At 39.3% G+C, this 18,797-nt stretch overlaps 1 protein-coding gene across 53 annotated transcripts in view, besides 1 other annotated feature; it reads left to right on the forward strand.

Annotated features, from left to right (window-relative positions):
- The window catches only part of ERC1 (ELKS/RAB6-interacting/CAST family member 1), a 505,975-nt gene that overhangs the window by 64,301 nt on the left and 422,877 nt on the right, over positions 1 to 18,797 (forward strand). The gene's annotated exons all lie outside the window — the stretch shown is intronic.
- Positions 17,642 to 18,142: an enhancer, noted in NCBI's record as "H3K4me1 hESC enhancer chr12:1181067-1181567 (GRCh37/hg19 assembly coordinates)". NCBI's record gives its function as "activates a minimal SCP1, AML or CMV promoter by ChIP-STARR-seq in primed H9 embryonic stem cells {active_cell/tissue: H9 hESC(primed)}" and the evidence as "EXISTENCE:reporter gene assay evidence [ECO:0000049][PMID:30033119]".

The following is an 18,797-nucleotide window of genomic DNA, read 5'->3' on the forward strand; positions in this document are numbered from 1 at the left end:
TTCTTCTTCGTAGAGGGCCATTCTAAGGCCAGTGCTTTCCCAGGGCCTGGGTATATTATGTAGTATGATGAATATCACAGAGCAATTGCCCTTGTTTAGGAACTGTGTATTGGGATTCCTTTAAGATTTTTGTTTTAACATACTTACATTTCACTAGGATTCTTCCCTACCGCACCCCCGGCTCTTTTTAAAAAATTTACCTAGTTTGTCCCTTGCCTGTTTGGCTACTAGATATATTTAACTGACCTTAGACAGTGCTGCAGGCAGAGTTCAGCATTTAGGCAAAACGGATGGCAGTGTTAGCTGTTTTTCTCCTGGCATGTCACTGTGCATTATCTGGGATGGCATGCTTTGTGAGTATCTGTATGGTTTCCCAATGAGAGAAGGGAGGTCTGGCTGCATTCACTCGCACAAGGTGACCTTTGTTTCTACACATTCTCTGCTTTAACAAAGCATTGTCTAATCAGTCTGTCAATACATATTTATTGAGTGCCTACTGTGAATGCCCAGTAGTATGCTGTGTACTTTGAGAGATTTTTTTCAAAAGGGGGCAGGGTAGAAAGAAAGAGAAATATGCATTTGAGTTTAGAATAATGTTAACATGAAATATGTATACCGTGTGTGATTTTATAAACATGAATTTCTGGAGGAGCAGAATTCTAGAGTATTCTGGCCCACATTAGCTTCAAGAATGGAATTATTCTTAAGAGTAAAATCACTTAAGCTAGAAGTTCCAGGCTGCTGTGAGCAGTGCCTCTACACTCCAGCCTTGGTGACAGGAGACCCCTACCTAAAACAAAACAAAACAAAACAAAAAAAGAATGAACTGTTTCCTCATTAAGGTGCAACTTATTCATGTAAGAGAGATGTTTAATGTTAAGGATTTCCTTTCCTTTCCTTTTTTCTTTCCTTTTTCTTTCTTCTTTCCTTTCTTTTCTTTGACAGAGTCTCACTCTATCACCCAGGCTGGAGTGCAGTGGCGCGATCTCTGTTCACTGCAACCTCTGCTTCCCGGCTTCAAGCAATTCTTGTGCCTCAGCCTCCCCAGTAGCTGGGACTACAGTCATGTGCCACTACACCCGGCTAATTTTTGTATTTTTAGTAGAGATGGGGTTTTGCCATGTTGCCCAGGCTGGTCTCGAACTCCTGACCTCAAATGATCTGCCCACCTCAGCCTCCCAAGGTGCTGGGATTACAGGCGTGAACCACCATACTTGGCCTGTTAAGGATTTCTTTAAATGTGGTATTTGATATATAGGCTTACACAATTAGTATATCTTAAATTATGTAATGAATTTCCCACAATCTCAGCATTTAAAAAAATGTTTGGAATAGGAAGATGCTCATAATATTTTAGGGGAAATACATGTATATATAGTGTATATATGTATGTATACAATGATCAATCTTTGGAGCAGCATAGTGTAAAAAGCGCAAGCTACGGAGTCAGACTGCTGGATGGTTCTGCCACTTCAACTGACCTAGGGACAGGTAGATTTTATTATTTGTTTCCTTTTTTGTAAAATGAAAATAATGGTACATCATGGGTGAGATGTAAACTTTAAATGAGTTAGAATGCATAAAGCATTCAGAAAAGGAGCTGGCTGGGCGTGGGTGGCTCATGTCTGTAATCCCAGCACTTTGGGAGGCCCATGGCGGGAGAATTGCTTGAGCCCAGGAATTTGAGACCAGCCTGGGCAACATAATGAGACCCCTGTCTCTAAAAAATAAAATAAAATAAATGAAAATAAAAATAAAAATAGAACATGGTCTGGCCTGTGGAAAACATTAATTGTTACTTTTATTGTAGCCTTTTTTTTTTTTTAAAAAAAAGGTGAATGTCAGCAGAGAAAAACTGTTTTAAAGGATATCCATAAAATTTTTTTTGTGATTTTTCTCAGATTCATAGGATTATTAATTTTTCTTTTTATCTGTAATTCCTTTTTCCCCCGTAATGAACACGTTTCTAGTGTAATAAAGTAGAAGATAATGAAGAATAAGATTTAGTCTGAATATTTATATGAATCCTTATGAAGAAGTGTCGTTGTCTGTCATTGATACCCAAGATTTGTTGTCTCACGGCCATGGAAAACTAGGACGCAGACACACAAAGAGTGAGGTTCAGAGTGGAAGTTTAATAGGCAAAAGAAAGAGAAGAGCTCTCTGCGACAGAGATGGGTCCTGGAGAGGCTGGTCCTGGTTCTGCGGTGGAATGCAAGGGGTTTTATAGATAAGCTTGAGGAGGTGGTGTCATGATTTACATAGGGCATGAAAGATTGGTTGGACCAGGTGTGCCATTCTGGAAAACTGGTTAGGGCTAGGTGTTCCATTTGCCTAGGGTGCAAAAATCTGGCCACCCCCACCCTAATCTTTTATTATGCAGATGGCTTCTCTGTCTGCCCAGCGCAGTGTCTGTTTCTTTACTATACATGTGGTGACAAAGAAAAGGGAAGGTGAAGCCTCCATGTTGAACATACCTGGCCCCCAGGTAGCCGTTTTCTGTTAGCATAGCTGCTGACATTCACCCATGCAAGCTTCCAGCTTGCTTTTTTATGTTTGCAGCATGATTTTTCAGGCTGCTCTTTGTTAGAAAAGAAATTCTTTTGGGGCTGCTTTTTGTTAAAAGGGGAAATTACGCCGAGGACTCTATTGCCCTTATTATCTGCGTAAATAATTTCTTTCTACCTCCTGTATCAATGATACAACAAAATCTAGAATTTGTTGCCAGGAAATTAGTAAATATTTGAATGATATTGAATGGTCTACATAGGTGATGTTATTTTATCTTGAAGCTGTTCATAATTTAGCATAGGAAACATGGCAAACATGGCAGAAATACCATGGATCATATGCTTGTTTTATTTTTAGTGTTTTTTTGTTTGTTTGTTTTGTTTTTTTTGAGACAGTCTCTCACTTTGTCAGCGCGATCTCTCGGCTCACTGCAACCACCGCCTCCAGGGCTCAAGTGATTCTCCTGCCTCAGCCTCCTGAGTAGCTGGGATTACAGGCGTACATCACCACACCTAGCTAATTTTTGTGTTTTTAGTAGAGACTGGGTTTCGCCCTGTTGGCCAGGGTGGTCTCAAACTCCTGGCCTCAAGCAGTCCATCTTCCTTGGCCTCCTGGAAAGCGCTGGGCTTACAGGCATGAGCCACTGCGCCCAGCCTGTATATCTTCTTTTGAGAACTGTCTGTTTAAAATATAAATGAAAATAAAAATAGAACAGGGGCTGGCCTGCAGTAAGCATTAATTATGACTTTTATTGTACTTTTTTTTTAAAAAGGTGAATATCAGCATAGCAAAACTGTTTTGAAGGATGCGCATGGTTTTTTTTTTTTTTTTTTTTTTTTTCCTTGAGGTGGAGTCTTGCTACGTTGCCAGGCTGAAGTGCAGTGGCTTGATTTCGGCTCACTGCAACCTCTGCTTCCCGGGTTCAAGCGATTCCCCTGCCTCAGCCTCCTTAGTAGCTGGGATTACAGGCACTTGCCACCACGCCCAGCTAATTTTGGTATTTTTAGTAGAGGTGGGGTTTCACCATATTTGCCAGGATGCTCTCGATATTCTGACCTCGTGATCCACCTGCCTCGGCCTCCCAAAGTACTGGGATTACAAGCGTGAGCCACCGCACCCGGCCTAAAATTTTTTTTTAGTGATTTTTCTCAGGTGTGTAGGATTATTAGATTATTTAGATCCTTAGATCTAGACTATTTAGATCCTTTGCCCATTTTAAAATCAGATTAGGTTTTTTTTGTTTTGTTTTGTTTTTGTTTTTTTGTTTGTTTTTGCTGTTGAGTTGTTTGAATTCATTTTATATTCTGGATATTAGTCCCTTCTCGGATGCATAGTTTGCAGATGTTTTCTCTCATTCTGCAGATTGTCTCTTCACTCTGTTGATTGTTTCCTTTGCTGTGCAGAAGCTTTTTAAGTTTGTTATAGTCCCATTTGTCTATTTTGGTTTTCTCACCAGTGCTTTTGAAACCTTACCAAGAAAGTCTTTTCCTAGACCAGTGTCCTCAAGTGTTTCCCCTACATTTTTTTTTCTAATAGTTTTATATGAATAGTTTCAGGTCTTACATTTAAGTCTTTAATCAGTTTTGAGTTGACTATTGCGTTTGGTAAAAGGTAGGGGTCTAATTTAATTTTTCTGCATGTGGATATCCAGTTTTCCCAGTACTATCTATTGAAGAGGGCGTCCTTTTCCCAAAGTATGGTTTTGGCTCTTTTGTTGAAAATCAGTTGGCTGTAAATATGTGGATTTATTTCTAGGTTCTCTGTTCTGTCCTATTGGTCTATGTGTCTGTTTTTATACCAGCACCATGCTGTTTTGGTTACTATAGCTTTGTAGTGTATTTTGAAGTCACATAGTGTGATGTCTTCTGCTTTGTTCTTTTTTGTTCATTATTGCTTTGGCTATTCAGGGTCTTTCTGGTTCCATATAAACTTGAGAATTGTTTTTTTATTTCTCTGAAGAATATCATTGATATTTTGATATGGATTGCATTGAATCTATAGTTTGCTTTGGAAAGTATGTTTTTTTTTTTTTTTTTTAAGAGACGAGGTCTTGCTCTCTCATCCCAGCTACAGTGTAGTAGTATGATCATAGCTCACTGAAACCTCAAACTCTTGGGCTCAAATGATTCTCCCACATCAGCCTCCCATGTAGCTGGGATGACAGTGGTCATTTTAACAGCATTCTTCCTATCCATGAACATGGGATGTCTTTCCAATTTTTTTTGTGTCCTCTTCAATTTCTTTTATCAGTATTTTGTAATTTTCATTGTAGAGCTCTTTCACCTTCTTGGTTCAATTTATTCTTAGAGTTTGTTGTTGTAGCTTATTGTAAATGGGATTGCATTCTTGGTTACTTTTTTAGCTGGTTTGTTATTGGTGTATGGAAATGCTACTGATTTTTATATGTTGATTTTTTATCCTGCAACTTTAGTGAATTTGTTTATAAGTTCTAAGATTGTTTTGATGGAGTCTTTAGGTTTTTCTAGATATAAGAACATGTTGTCTGCAAACAGGGACATTTGACTGCCTCTTTTGCAATCTGGATGCCCTTTATTTTTTTCTCTAGCCTAAGTGCTCTGGCTGGGACTTCCAGTACTATGTTGAGTAAGAATGGTGAAAAGTTGGCATACTTGTCTGGTTCTAGTTCTTAGAGGAAATGCATTCAGCTTTTCCCTATTAAGTGTGATGTTAGCTGTCACTTTGTCATATGTGGCCTTGATTATGTTGAGGTATGTTCCTTTATTGCCTAGTTTATTGAGAGTTTTTATCAGGAAGGTATGTTGAATTTTATCCAATGTTTTTTTCTGCATCTATTGAGATAATCATATGGATTTTGTCATTCATGCTGTTGATGTGCTATATTACATTTATCGTTTTGTGTATGTTGAACCATCCTTGCATCCCTGGGATAAATCCCACTTTGTCTTGGTGTATTGTCTTTTGAATGTGCTGTTGGATTTTGTTTGCTAGTATGTTGTTGAGGATTTTTGCATCTGTGTTCATCAGGGATATTGACCATAGTTTTTGTTGTTTCTGTACCCTTGTCTGGTTTTCGCATCAAGGTAATGCTGGCTGGCCCTATAGAGTAAGTTACAAAGAATTACCCCTCTTCAGCTTTTGGGAATAGTTTGAGAAGAATTGGTGTTAGTTCTTTAAAAGTTTTGTAGAATTTAGCATTAAAGCTATCTGATCCAGGGTTTCCTTTGTTGAGAGACTTTTTATTAAAATTGATTCAGTCTTGTTACTTGGTGTTGTTCTGTTCAGGTTTACTACTTGTATTAGTCTGTTTTCATGCTGGCTGATGAAGACATACTGAGACTGGAGAGAAAAAGAGGTTTAATTGGACTTATAGTTCCACATGGCTGGGGAGGCCTCAGAATCATGGTGGGAGGCAAAGGCCACTTCTTTTTTTTTTACTATTATACTTTAAGTTTTAGGGTACATGTGCACAATGTGCAGGTTAGTTACATATGTATACATGTGCCATGCTGGTGTGCTGCACCCATTAACTCGTCATTTAGCATTAGGTATATCTCCTAATGCTAACCCTCCCCCCTTCCCCCACCCCACAACAGTCCCCAGAGTGTGATGTTCCCCTTCCTGTGTCCATGTGTTCTCATTGTTCAATTCCCATCTATGAGTGAGAACATGCGGTGTTTGGTTTTTTGTCCTTGTGATAGTTTACTGAGAATGATGGTTTCCAGTTGCATCCATGTCCCTACAAAGGACATGAACTCATCATTTTTTACGGCTGCATAGTATTCCATGGTGTATATGAAAAGGCACTTCTTACATTGAGGCGGCAAGAGAAAAATGAGGAAGAAGCAAAAGCGGAAACCCCTGATAAACCCATCAGATCTCATGAGACTTATTCACTATCACAAGAATAGCATGGGAAAGACTGGCCCCATGATTCAGTTACCTTCCCTTGGGTCCTTCACATAACGTGGGAAATTTTTTTTTTTTTTTTTTTGAGACGGAGTCTCGCTTTGTTGCCCAGGCTGGAGTGCAGTGGTGCGATCTCGGCTCACTGCAAGCTCTGCCTCCTGGGTTCACGCCATTCTCCTGCCTCAGCCTCCTGAGTAGCTGGGACTACAGGTGCCCACCACCACGCCTGGCTAATTTTTTTTGCATTTTTAGTAGAACGAGGTTTCACCGTGTTAGCCAGGATGATCTCGATCTCCTGACCGCGTGATCCACCTGCCTCGGGCCCCCCAAAGTGCTGGGATTACAGGCGTGAGCCACCACGCCTGGCCACATGTGGGAATTCTTGGAGATACAATTCATGTTGAGATTTGGGTATAGTACACTATATCACTGCTTCTTCCTGGTCCGATCTTGGCAAGTTCTATATATCCAGGAATTTATCCATTCCTTCTAGGTTTTCCAATTTGTTGGTGTATAGTTGTTCATAATGGCGTCTAATGATTCTTTGTATTTCTGTGGTTTCCTTTTTCATTTCAGATTTTGTTTGAGTCTTCTCTCTTCTTAGTCTAGCTAATGGTTTGTGGATTTTGCTTATCTTTTCAAAAAACCAAGTTTCTGGCTGGGCGTAGTGGGCCATGCCTGTAATCCCAGCACACTGGTAGGCTGAGTCCGCAGATCACTTGAGCCCAGGAGTTCGAGATCAGCCTGGGCAAGATGGTGAAACCCTGTCTCTACTATAAAAAAAAAAAAAAAAAAGTTGCTGGGCGTGGTGGTGTATGCCAGTAATCACAGTTACTTGGGAGGCTGAGGCATGAGAATCACTTGAACCTGGGAGGCATAGGTTGCAGTGAGTTGAGATTGCACCACTGCACTCCAGCCGGGGTGACAGAGCAAGACCCTGTCTCAGAAACAGCAGCAACAACAACAAGAACAATCCCCAAAACAAGTTCTTGTTTCATTGATGTTTTATATGTGTCTCTCTCTAATTATCTAATCTAATTGAATCTCTCTCTCCCCCCCCATATCTCCATATCTCCATCTCTTGCTTTCTCTTTCTCTCTCTCTGGTTTCTATTTTGCTTATTTCTGCTCTGGTCTTTATTTCTTACACTAATTTTGAGTTTGGTTTGTTCTTGCCTTTCAGGTTCCTTGAGATGCATTGCTAGGTTGTTTATTTAAAATCTGTCTTCTTTTTTGATATAAGTATTTATTGCTGTAAACCCCCCTCTTTGTACTGCTTTTGCTGTTTCCCAGAGGTTTTGGTATGTTGTGTTTTTTTTTCTTCTTTTCTTCTTTTTTTTTTTTTTTTTTTGAGACGGAGTCTTGCTCTGTCACCCAGGCTGGAGTGCAGTGGCATGATCTCGGCTCACTGCAAGCTCTGCCTCCCGGGTTCACTCCCACCTCAGCCTCCCTAGTAGCTGGGACTACAGGCACCCACCAGCACGCCTGGCTAATTTTTTATATTTTTAGTAGAGACAGGGTTTCACCGTGTTAGCCAGGATGGTCTTGATCTCCAGACCTCGTGATCTGCCCGCCTCGGCCCCCGAAGTGCTGGGATTACAGGTGTGAGCCAATGCGCCCGGCCTTTTCTTTTCTTTTTTTGAAAATGAAGACGGGGTTTTGCCATGTTGCCCAGGCTGGTGTCGAACTCCTGAGCTCAAGCCATCTGCGTGCCTCAGTCTCCCAAAGTGCTGGGATTTCAGGCATGAGCCACCACACCTTGTCATTATGTTGTGTTTCTATTTCGGTTTTTTTTCCAACAAATCTTTTGAATTCCTTTTAAATTTCTCCATAGACCCAGTGGTTTTTCAGGTGTTTAGTTTCCAAAGTTCTTGTTTTTGATGTCTAGTTTTATCCCACTGTGGTCTGGGAAGATACTTGATATGATTTTAGTTTTACAAAATTTGTTGAGACTTGTTTCGTGGCCTAACATATGGTTTATCCTAGAGAATGTTCCATGTGCTGATGAGGAGAATGTATATTCTGTAGCTGTTGCATGGAATGTTCTATGAATGCCTGTTAGTTCCATTTGGTCCATAGTTCCACTGAAGACCAGTGTTTCTTTGTTGATTTTCTGTCTAGATGATCTGTTCAGTGGTGAAAGTGGGGTGGTGAAGTCCGCAATTATTCTTATATTGGGATCTATGTCTCTAGCTCTAATAATATTTGCTTTATAGCTGGGTGCTTTGGTGTTAGGTGCATATGTGTTTATAGTTGTTACGTCCTTTTGCTGAATTGATCCCTTTATCATTATATAATGTCCCTTTTTATGTTTTTTGACTTGAAAGTCTATTTTGTTTGATATAAATATAGCTACTCCTTCATGCGTCTGGTTTCCATTTATGTGGAGTATCTTTTTCCATTCCTTCATTTTCTTTTTTTTTGAGACGGAGTTTCACCCTTGTTGCCCAGGCTGGAGTGACTGTAGTAGCATGATCTTGGCTCACTGCAATCTCTGCCTCCCGGGTTCAAGCAGTTCTCCTGCCTTAGCCTCCCAAGTAGCTGGGGATTACAAGCATGTGCCACCACGCCTGGCTGATTTTTTGCATGTATGTATGTATGTATTTATTTATTTAGTTTTTGAGATGGAATATTGCTCTGTCGCCCAGGCTGTAGTGTGGTGGCATGATCTTGCTTCACTGCATCCTCCACCTCCTGGGTTCCAGTGATGCCCCTGCCTCAGCCTCCTGGGTATCTGGGATTACAGGCATGTGCCACCACGCCTGGCTAATTTTTGTATTTTTAGTAGAGACGGGGTTTTCACCATTTTGGCTAGGCTGGTCTCGAACTGCTGACTTCAGGTGATCTACCTGCCTTGGCCTCCCAAAGTGCTGGGATTACAGGTGTGAGCCACCGCACCTGGCTTATTCCTTCATTTTCTATGTGTGTTTTTACATGTGAAGTGAGTTTCTTGTAGACAGCATATAGTTGAGTCTTTTTTTAAAAAAAAATCCACTCATTCAGCCTATATCTTTTAATTGGGGAATTTAAACCATGTACATTCAAGATTGTTCTTGATATGTGAAGGCTTACTCCTGTCATTTTGTTGTTTTCTGATTGCTTTGTATATCCTATGTTCCTTTTTTCCTCTCATTGTTTATCCTTGCTGTTTGGTGGTATTCTGTAGTGATAACATTTGACTAGTTTCTCTTTCTCATTTGTATATTTGCTTTGCCAGTGAATTTTATACTTTTATGTGTTTTCGTGATGATACATATTATTCTTTCCCTTCCAGATGTAAGACTCTCTTCAGCATTTTGTATGGCTGGTTTAGTGGTGAATTTTTTCAGTTTTCATTTGTCTGTGAAAGACTTTATTTCTCCTTCATTTCTGAAAGATAGCTTTGCTGGGTATAGTATTCTTGGCTAACAATTTTTTTGCTCCCCACCCCCTTCATTCAGCAGTTTGAATATATCATTTCATTCTCTCCTGACTTGTAAAGTTTCTGCTGAGAAATCTGCCATTAGTCTGATGGAGATTCCCATACATGTGACTTGAGGATTTTCTCTTGCTGTTTAAAAAACTTTTTTTTTTTTTTTGAGAGACATTATTCTGTTTCCCAGGCTGGATTGCAGTGGCTAGTCACAGGCACAATCATGTCTCACGACAGCCCTCCAACTCTTGGCCTCAAGCAATCCTACCCACTCAGCCTCCTGAGTATTCTCTTGCTGTTTTCAGAATATTCTTTTTTATTACTGTGATTATTATTATTTTTAGAGATAGGGTCTTGCTCCATTGCCCAGGCTGGTGTGTGATGGTTCAGTCATAGCTCACTGCAGCCTTGAACTCCTGTGTTCAAGTGATCTTGCCTCAGCTTCTTGAATAGCTAGGACTACAGCTAAAAGATTGGCCATCCCTGGCTACTTTTTACATTTTTTGTATAGATAGGGTCTTGCTATGTTGCCCAGGCTTGTGTCAAACTCCTGGCCTCAAAGAATCCTCCCGCCTGGCCTCCCAAAGCATTGGGATTGCAGGAGTTAGCCACCGTGTTCAGTGTAGAATTCTGTTTTTATCATTTACTTTTGACAACTTGGCAATAATGTACCTTAGAGAGGACTTTCTTTGGGCTGAATATGTTTTGGGATCTGTGAATACCAAAGATTCGAGGGATATATGCCTGTATCTCTGCTGAGACTTCGGAAGTTTTCCGCTATTATTTCATTAAACAGGTTGTCTATGCCATTTACCATCTCTTCTGAAATTCCCAAAGTGCAAGTAGTTGTTCACTTAATGGTGTCCCATATGCCATGTGGGCTTTATTCTTTTTTATCCTCTCTTCTTTTTCTTCTGAGTTTTTTCTTTTTTTTTCTTTTTCTTTTTTTGAGGCAGAGTCTCGCTCTGTTGCCCAGGCTGGAGTGCAGTGGCACGATCTTGGCTTACTGCAACCTCCGCCTCCTGGGTTCAAGTGATTCTGCTGCCTCAGCCTCCTGAGTAGCTGGGATTACAGGTGTGCACCATCACACCCAACTAATTTTTGTATTTTTAGTAGAGGGAGGGTTTCACCATGATGGCCAGGCTGGTCTCAAACTCCTGACCTCAGGTAATCTGCTCACCTCGGCCTCCCAAAGTGCTGGGATTACAGGTGTGAGCCACCGCGCCCAGCCCTGTCTGAGATTTTGCAAAAGACCTGTCTTCAAGTTCAGAAAATCCGCTTGATGTAGTCTATTCTATTTTTTATTTCACTCATTGAATTCTTTAATTTCACAATTTGTTTGTTTGTTTGATATATATCTCCTTGTTGAATTTTTCACTGATGAATTGTTTTCCTATTTCTTTGTACCGTTTGTGTGTGTGTGTGTGTGTGTGTGTGTGTGTGTGTGTGTGTTTGTATATTGCTGAGTTTCCTTAAGATCATTATTTTTCATTTTTTTCAGGCATTTCAGAGATTTCTTTTTTTGGGGCGGGGGGGGACGGATTTCTTCCTAGAGAATTAATTGAGTTTCTTTTGAGGTGTTGTATTTCCCTTGCTTTTTTATGTTTCTTGTGTCTACTTTGGCATCTGTGCATCTGGTGCAGCAGCTGCTCCTTCCAATTTTATGGAGCAGCTTTTGTGCAGAAATACTTTTTCCTGCAGGTATATCTACAGTATTGGCTGGATAACGTGCTTTGGCCGTACAATAGAGTAGTATTCAGCCATGAAAAGGAATGAAGTTCTGATACATGCTGCAGTGTGGATATACCTCCAAAACTTTATCCTGACTGAAAGGAGCCAGATACAAAAGATCACTTATTGTATGGTTCCGTGTATATGTAATATATTTTGTAGATAAATCTACAGATGTAGAATGCTAATTGGTGGTTGCCAGAGGCTGGGAAGAATGAGGAATGGGAAGAAACTGCTGGGTAAGGAGTTTTAACTTTGGAGTGATGGAAATATTATGGAACTAGGTAGAGGCAGTCATTGCGGAACACTGTGAACGTACTAAATGTTACTGAATTGTTCACTTTAAAATGGTTAATTTTATGTTATATGAACTACACCTCAATACATTATTTTTTAAAAGTTTTATGAACAGTCATAAATTAAAACAAATATTCGCTATGGCGATTAATATAATTGCCCTGTGTTGAGGATTTACCGGGAGCTGGAGCCTTCACATATATTGATTCTAAGCCTTATGTCAGCATTGCAAGATAGATTAGGAAGAACAAAGAACTATATTAGTAGTTTAAAATAATGGCTTTAAACTGCTTTACACCTTGTTTATCAAATCAAGTGAGCCCTTGAAATTTAATCAGGGACTGGACGGTAGGGGGCACCCATGGTACTTATGTTGCTCTGGCTATGTTGAGAGCGTCTTAAGTCATAAACACAGATTTGTTGAATGAGTTTGATACTTTGAAAATTATCACCTAGAGGCTGGGTGCGGTGGCTCACGCCTGTAATCCCAGCACTTTGGGAGACTGAGGCAGGTGGATCACGTGAGGTCAGGAGTTTGAGACCAGCCTGGCCAACATGGTGAAACCTCATCTCTACTAAAAATAGAAAAATTATCCGGGTGTGGTGGTAGGTGCCTGTAATCCCAACTATTCAGGAGGCTGAGGCAGGAGAATTGCTTGACGCTGGGAGGTGGAAGTTGCAGTGAGCTGAGATTGCGCCATTGTAGTCCAGCCTGGGCAACAGAGCGAGACTCTGTCTCAAAAAAAAAAAAAAAAAATTAGCAAGAAGGATCTTATTACGAACTTATGTTTATTTGAGTTTGGTATTTTATCTTTCAGTTTTAAGTTTTGTAGTTGAAAATATGGAACTATAGGCATGTGCCACCACACCCAGCTAGTTTTTGTATTTTTTATAGAGACGGGGTTTTGCCATGTTGCGCAGACTGGTCTCGAACTCTTGGGCTCAAGCAATCTGCCTGCCTCCACCTCCCAAAGTGTTGGAATTACAGGTGTGAGCCTCTGTGCCCGGCCAAAACATAAGTTTTATGATATAATACTTGCTCTATGGACGATGTTAGATGTTTTAAGTTTTATTTTCTTTTAATGAAAAAAGATTGGCAACCACTAAATTGTTTTTACAACTCATTTTTTAACAAGCCAGTTTGAAAAGTTTTTAGTGTAAAATGCCAGTGTTTCTGCTATCCGATGAAAAGCATCAGGTTCTATAAAATTTTACTATTGGAAAGTTAGGGTTTGGGGAAGAGTATTCTAAATATATGTAACTTTGTAATCATAACACAAACAGAAGTAATGTTAATAAATGGTACCTCAGGAGATTACTTGGATAGCACTAGGATGCCAGGTGATAGTAGCCAGAGAATGCTTCAACATATATTCAAAACTCACCGAAGTAATTTAGTAGAAATGCTTGCTTACAGTGCTGAGAAATTGCTGATGGAAGTGGATCTCTGAGCGCAGGAAAAAGTGCAGCCTGTCTTGAGCAGAGGGCCATGAGTGCTCAGGGGTGTGCCCCTGTAGGAAGGGAGCCCTGGATACAGGTGCTCTGTTTTAGTTTTCTCAAAATAGAGCTGAAAGGATCACTATTTATTCAGCAGCCAAGCAGAGGGCATTTTCCTTTCCTGCTGAAGGCTGCAATTCTGCCTGTCTTTGTAGTTCTCTTGCCTAGGAAAAGGTACATATGAATCAGCACAGCTTTGTTATAATGATAGTTCTCTATTTATCATGATCATGTATGAGCTAATTTATATTGTAAAAAATATATTTAGAACAAAACTGTGTGTGTGTCCAGTGTAGTTTGCCAATTTTACTGTATTTCATTTTAGCCACTGCTTTTTTTTTTTTTTTTTTTCCTTCTGAGACAGAGTCGCTCTGTCGCCCAGGCTGGAGTGCAGTGGCGCGATCTCAGCTCACTGCAGCATCCACCTCCCGAGTTCAAGTGATTCTCCTGCCTCAGCCTCCCAAGTAGCTGGGACTATAGGCGCCCACCACCAAGCCCAGCTAATTTTTGTATTTTTAGTAGAGATGGGTTTTCTCCATCTTGGCCAGGCTGGTCTCGAACTCCTGACTTTGTGATCTGCCCACCTCGGCCTCCCAAAGTACTGGGATTACAGGCGTGAGCCACCGCGCCCGGCGATGCTGAGATCTTAATTAAGACTCTAAGTTTTGGAGAGAGATGTTCAAGTTTTTCATCTTTACCTGAGAATCCCTACAAAATGCCAAATACTGTAATTGTACACTAAGGTGCCAAAATTTTGATCTCAAAGATCCGTATGAAATTATCTTGGAGATAAGGAACCTGAAGGCTTAAAAGACACAAGAATCAAGTTTCTCTTCTGGCCCTTTCTTATTTATTACATACAAAAATAATTACTTTTCCCTTTAGGAATTAAAAAAAAAAGTAGTCACTCAGGGATACCTGATTCTTTACTGATGCTTAGCATTTTTTTGTGAATAATTTTTATCCCTCTAACAGTAAAATGATGTTAAAAGCCCTTGAAAAAATGAAAATTAATTGCATTTCATACCCTTGAAGCTCTGATTTTATTGATAATTTTGTTTTTTAAGTGAACAAAACCTCAAAATATACTAGCAAGGTAAATTTATTGATTTCTCCTCTTATGCCCGATTGCTTATCAATTTGGTTCTTTTGTCTAAGAATGATCCAATTAGCAGACTAATTTTTTTTCAACAGGGAACTTTCGCCTTCTTACACTGTGTTCTCATTGGAGCATTGCATAGTCTCTGCATACGTAGAGCGTGAAGATGGTGTCTTTATGTATACCTTCTTAAGTAAGCTAAACTGTCTTGAAAATGGCAGTAAGTGGCACATTAAGACACAAAAGGTTATTTCTTTTTTGGCGAATGGTTGTTTGTTTAAATGGAGAAACATAAGGTCTTATATTGAGAGGTAGATTTATTTAATATTCCATAGATGTAATTTTAAAAATATTTCTCCTGTCTCAGAATGAAGTGAGGGTTCTGCTAAGACAGCTTTGTAATTCACAGCTTTCTTTGAAAATGCTGTACCTCTATTCCTTATTGATGGACTTGAATGCACAATCATTTGTGGGGTTTTTTTGTTTTGTTTTTATGAAATAGCAGTTTGATCATTTATACCAAAAGTTAGTGCTATATGATTAGATATCAAGGTTCCTTAGATAGAAGCATTCCAGGCTGGATATCTGACTCCTTTTATCATCTGCATGGTGTACTTAGCTGTATATAAAATGGAAAAGTAGCAAGTTTAAATGACTGGTAAAGTTGGAGGCACACTCTGCTACCCAGCGGTTCTATTTCTGTGTCTTCTTGAGAGAAACTTTTACCCATGTGCTCAAGGATCTATATAGATGGAGGTGTAATTTATTATAATGGTGATCTAGATAGGATCTAGATAGATGGAGGTGTATTTATTATAATAGTGAATAAGTACAAAAATACTTAACTGTTCCTCAGTAAGTGAATGGATACATTGATATTATTCGTATAGTGGAATTCAAGTAAACAATCCTTATCTCCAGAATACTTAGGGCAGATGTATTTTGGAATTTAGAAATTTTTAAACTTTAAAGGTAATTCGGTATGTATACCATTTATTGTATAACACTCCCATTGGGATTTGGGAAACACCTCATAATCAAACATACTAATTTTTCTGTAGCAAAATTTATGAATATTCATATTAAGTGGGATAAATAGATTTTAAATGGCTTCATACTATTTGGGTTAATTACATTTTTTAATTAGGTTATGGGAAAACTTAAGAGCTTTTTGGATTTTAGATTTTTGGAAAAAGAATTGTGAACCCATATTATAAAGTTCATAAAATGAATGAAATCGAGCTACATGTATCGATGTGGATAAATCTGAAGCATATTATGTTAAGTAACAAAAGGAAGTTGCAGAGATAACCTTGTGCAAATGACATCATTTATGTGAATTGTTAAATAAGCAACAGTGAGAGAGAGAGAGAGAGCTCTGAAGCAAATAAGGCAAATTATTGGTAGTGGTTTTCTTACTTTGTTGTATGTTTGAATGTGTCTTTATAACCTCAAACTTCAGCTTTTAAACCTTCTGTTTTACCTTAAGAATGTAAGGTTACATTGAGTTAGGCAATAAGAGTATGCTACAAAGCATGTCAGAACTGGAAGTGTTCTTTAAAATCATTTAAATTATCATCCCTTCTTTTTTTCTTACTTTCTTTTTTTCTTTTCTTTTTTTTTTGGAGGCAGGGTCTCACTCTGCCGCCCAGGCTGGAGTATAGTGGCATGATCATGGTTCACTGCAGCCTCAGACTCCTGGGCTCAGGGAAACCTCCTGAGTATCTGGGACTATAGATGCATGCCACTGTGCCCAGCTAATTTTTTTAATTTTTTTGTAGAGACAGTGTCTGTGTTGCCCAGGCTGGTCTTGAACTCCTGGGCTCAAGCAGTCCTTCCTCCTCGGCTTCTCAAAGTGCTGGGATTATAGGTGTGAGCCACTGTGCCTGGTCTACTCTTCCTTCTTCTAATCCAAGTCATTCCTACTTGTTAAGAGATTCTCTTGAATATTTATTTATTTTCCCTTTTTAAACCTTAGACCTTTTACTTCTTTTCAAAACATATTTTGGTTGAGATATAGTTTCCATACAGTGAAATGCACACACCTTAAGTATCTTGTTTCCATGAGTTTTGACAAATGCCAACACCCGTGTAATCCACAATTCTGTCAAGATACAGAACATTTCCATCATCCCACAAAGTTCCCTTGCATCTCTCCCCAGTTCGCATCATCCCTGCCCCGCAGCACAGGTAGTGTTCTGATTCCTTTCACTTTAATTTTACGTGTTCTCGAACTTCATTTAAATGGAATCATACAGTCTGTACCCTGTTGTGTCTGGCTTTTGTTGCTCAGTGTGTTGTTTTTTACATTTATCCATGTTGTTGCATGTATCCATAGTTATCCTTTTATATACTGAGTAACACTCCATTGTGTGAATGTGGTACTATCAGTTTATCCAATCTTCTGTTGATGGACATTTGTGTTGTTTCCAGTTTTTGGCTCTTATAGATAAAACCACTGTAAACATTTTTATATGGTTGTGTTTATTGGTACATGTTTTCATTTCTCTTGGGGTGATACCTAAGGGTGGAATTCCTGGGTCCTAGGGTGGTGCATACTTCACTTCGTGAGAAACTACCAGAGCAGTTTTCAGTGTTGCTTCTGGCTGCTTCCATCCTTGCCAGCATTTGGTATTGTTAATTGTCTAAATTTTAGCCATTCTAGTGGGTGTGTAGTGATATCTTATTGTGGTTTTGATTTGCATTTCCCCAGTTACTAAAGATACTAGTCACTTTTTCGTTTGCTTATTGGTTAGTTAGTTCAATTGCTTATTGTCCTTAGAAGAACGTTCATCTTCCCCAGGAATGTATTTTTCTTTTTGAAGTATCTAAGTCTTCTACCCACTTTTAAAAAGTTTTTTTTTTTTAATTGAGTTGTAGAAGTAGTTTATATATTCTGGATACAAGTCCTTTAACAGTTATATGTGGCATGCCAATTTTATTTTTATAGTGGTCTCTTTCTTTTTAAAATTTTTCCTCATCACTCTTTCCATATGATACAATGTTCTCTTTTGATAAGCAGAAATTAAAAATTTTGAAGTCTAATTTGTGAATTTAAAGTTTTATCATTAGTACTTCCTAAGATAACCATCCAAATATCTTTCCCTTAAAAGTATAAAGTCTGAGGCTGGGCACAGTGGCTCACACCTTTAATCCCAGCACTTTGGGAGGCCGAGGCTGGCAGATCACCTGAGGTCAGGAGTTTGAGACCAGCCTGGCCAACATGGAGAAACCCTGTCTCTACTAAAAATACAAAAACTAGCTAGGCTTGGTGGCGGGCACCTGTAATCTCGGCTACTTGGGAGGCTGAGGTATGAGAATCGCTTGAACCTGGGAGGTGGAGGTTGCAATGAGCCAAGATTGCGCCACTACACTCCAGCCTGGGCAGCAGAGCAAGACTCTGTCTCAAAAAAAAAAACAAAAAAGTGTAAAGTCAGCTGAAGTGATATGAAAGCTTTTGTGATCATAGACCTAAGCATTTGAATTGCAAATATAACTTGGTGTGTGAAAGCTCTGCAGTATGCATGCAGGAATTAAATGTCTGTCTGGAAATAATGCCAACAAATATATTTATTGGGGTTTGTGTGATAGAATTGGCAGATAACCAAGGAAGCAAATTTATTTTCCTTTTAAATATGAAGGAAAATTTATGAAGGAAGAGCAAATTTATTTTCCTTTCAAATACGAAAACATGAAGTAATCTTTTGTAATGTTTACTACCTACATTGATTGCCTTTCTCTGCATTAATTTCTCAAAAATTTTCTTCATTAATTTTCTTGAGGAGCTCTTTTATCTGCTTAATGTCTTTACAAACACATGTGCAAAAGAGTCTCAGACGCATCTTATTTGATGATTGTCATGGAAAATATTAAGGGTTTGTGTACAAATGTTTATACTGCAGTGTTTTGCTTCAAGAAAAATGTATGGTCTTCTCTATGCAAGTTTTATCATTTTTGTTGTTGTTTTTATTTCCAAGTCCTTTCTGTGTTTTAATTTTAATTTTTACTTTTATTTTTGAGACAGAGTCTCGCACTGTCACCCTGGCTGGAGTGCAGTGGTGCGATCTCGGCTCACTGCAAGCTCTGCTTCCTGGGTTCAAGCAGTTCTCGTGCCTCAGCTTCCCTAGTAGCTGGGATTACAGGCATGCACCACCATGCCCAGCTAATTTTTGTATTTTTAGTAGAGATGGGGTTTTACCATGTTGGCTATGCTGGTCTCTAACTCCTGACCTCACATGATCTGCGTGCCTTGCCCTCCCTAAGTGCTGGGATTACAGGCGTGAGCCACTGTGTCCAGCCAATAAATACTTTAAAAATAAATTTTCAGGCCAGGTGCGGTGGCTCATGCCTGTAATCCCAGCAC

Source organism: Homo sapiens, chromosome 12, assembly GCF_000001405.40.
Source record: "Homo sapiens chromosome 12, GRCh38.p14 Primary Assembly".
NCBI lineage: Eukaryota > Metazoa > Chordata > Mammalia > Primates > Hominidae > Homo > Homo sapiens.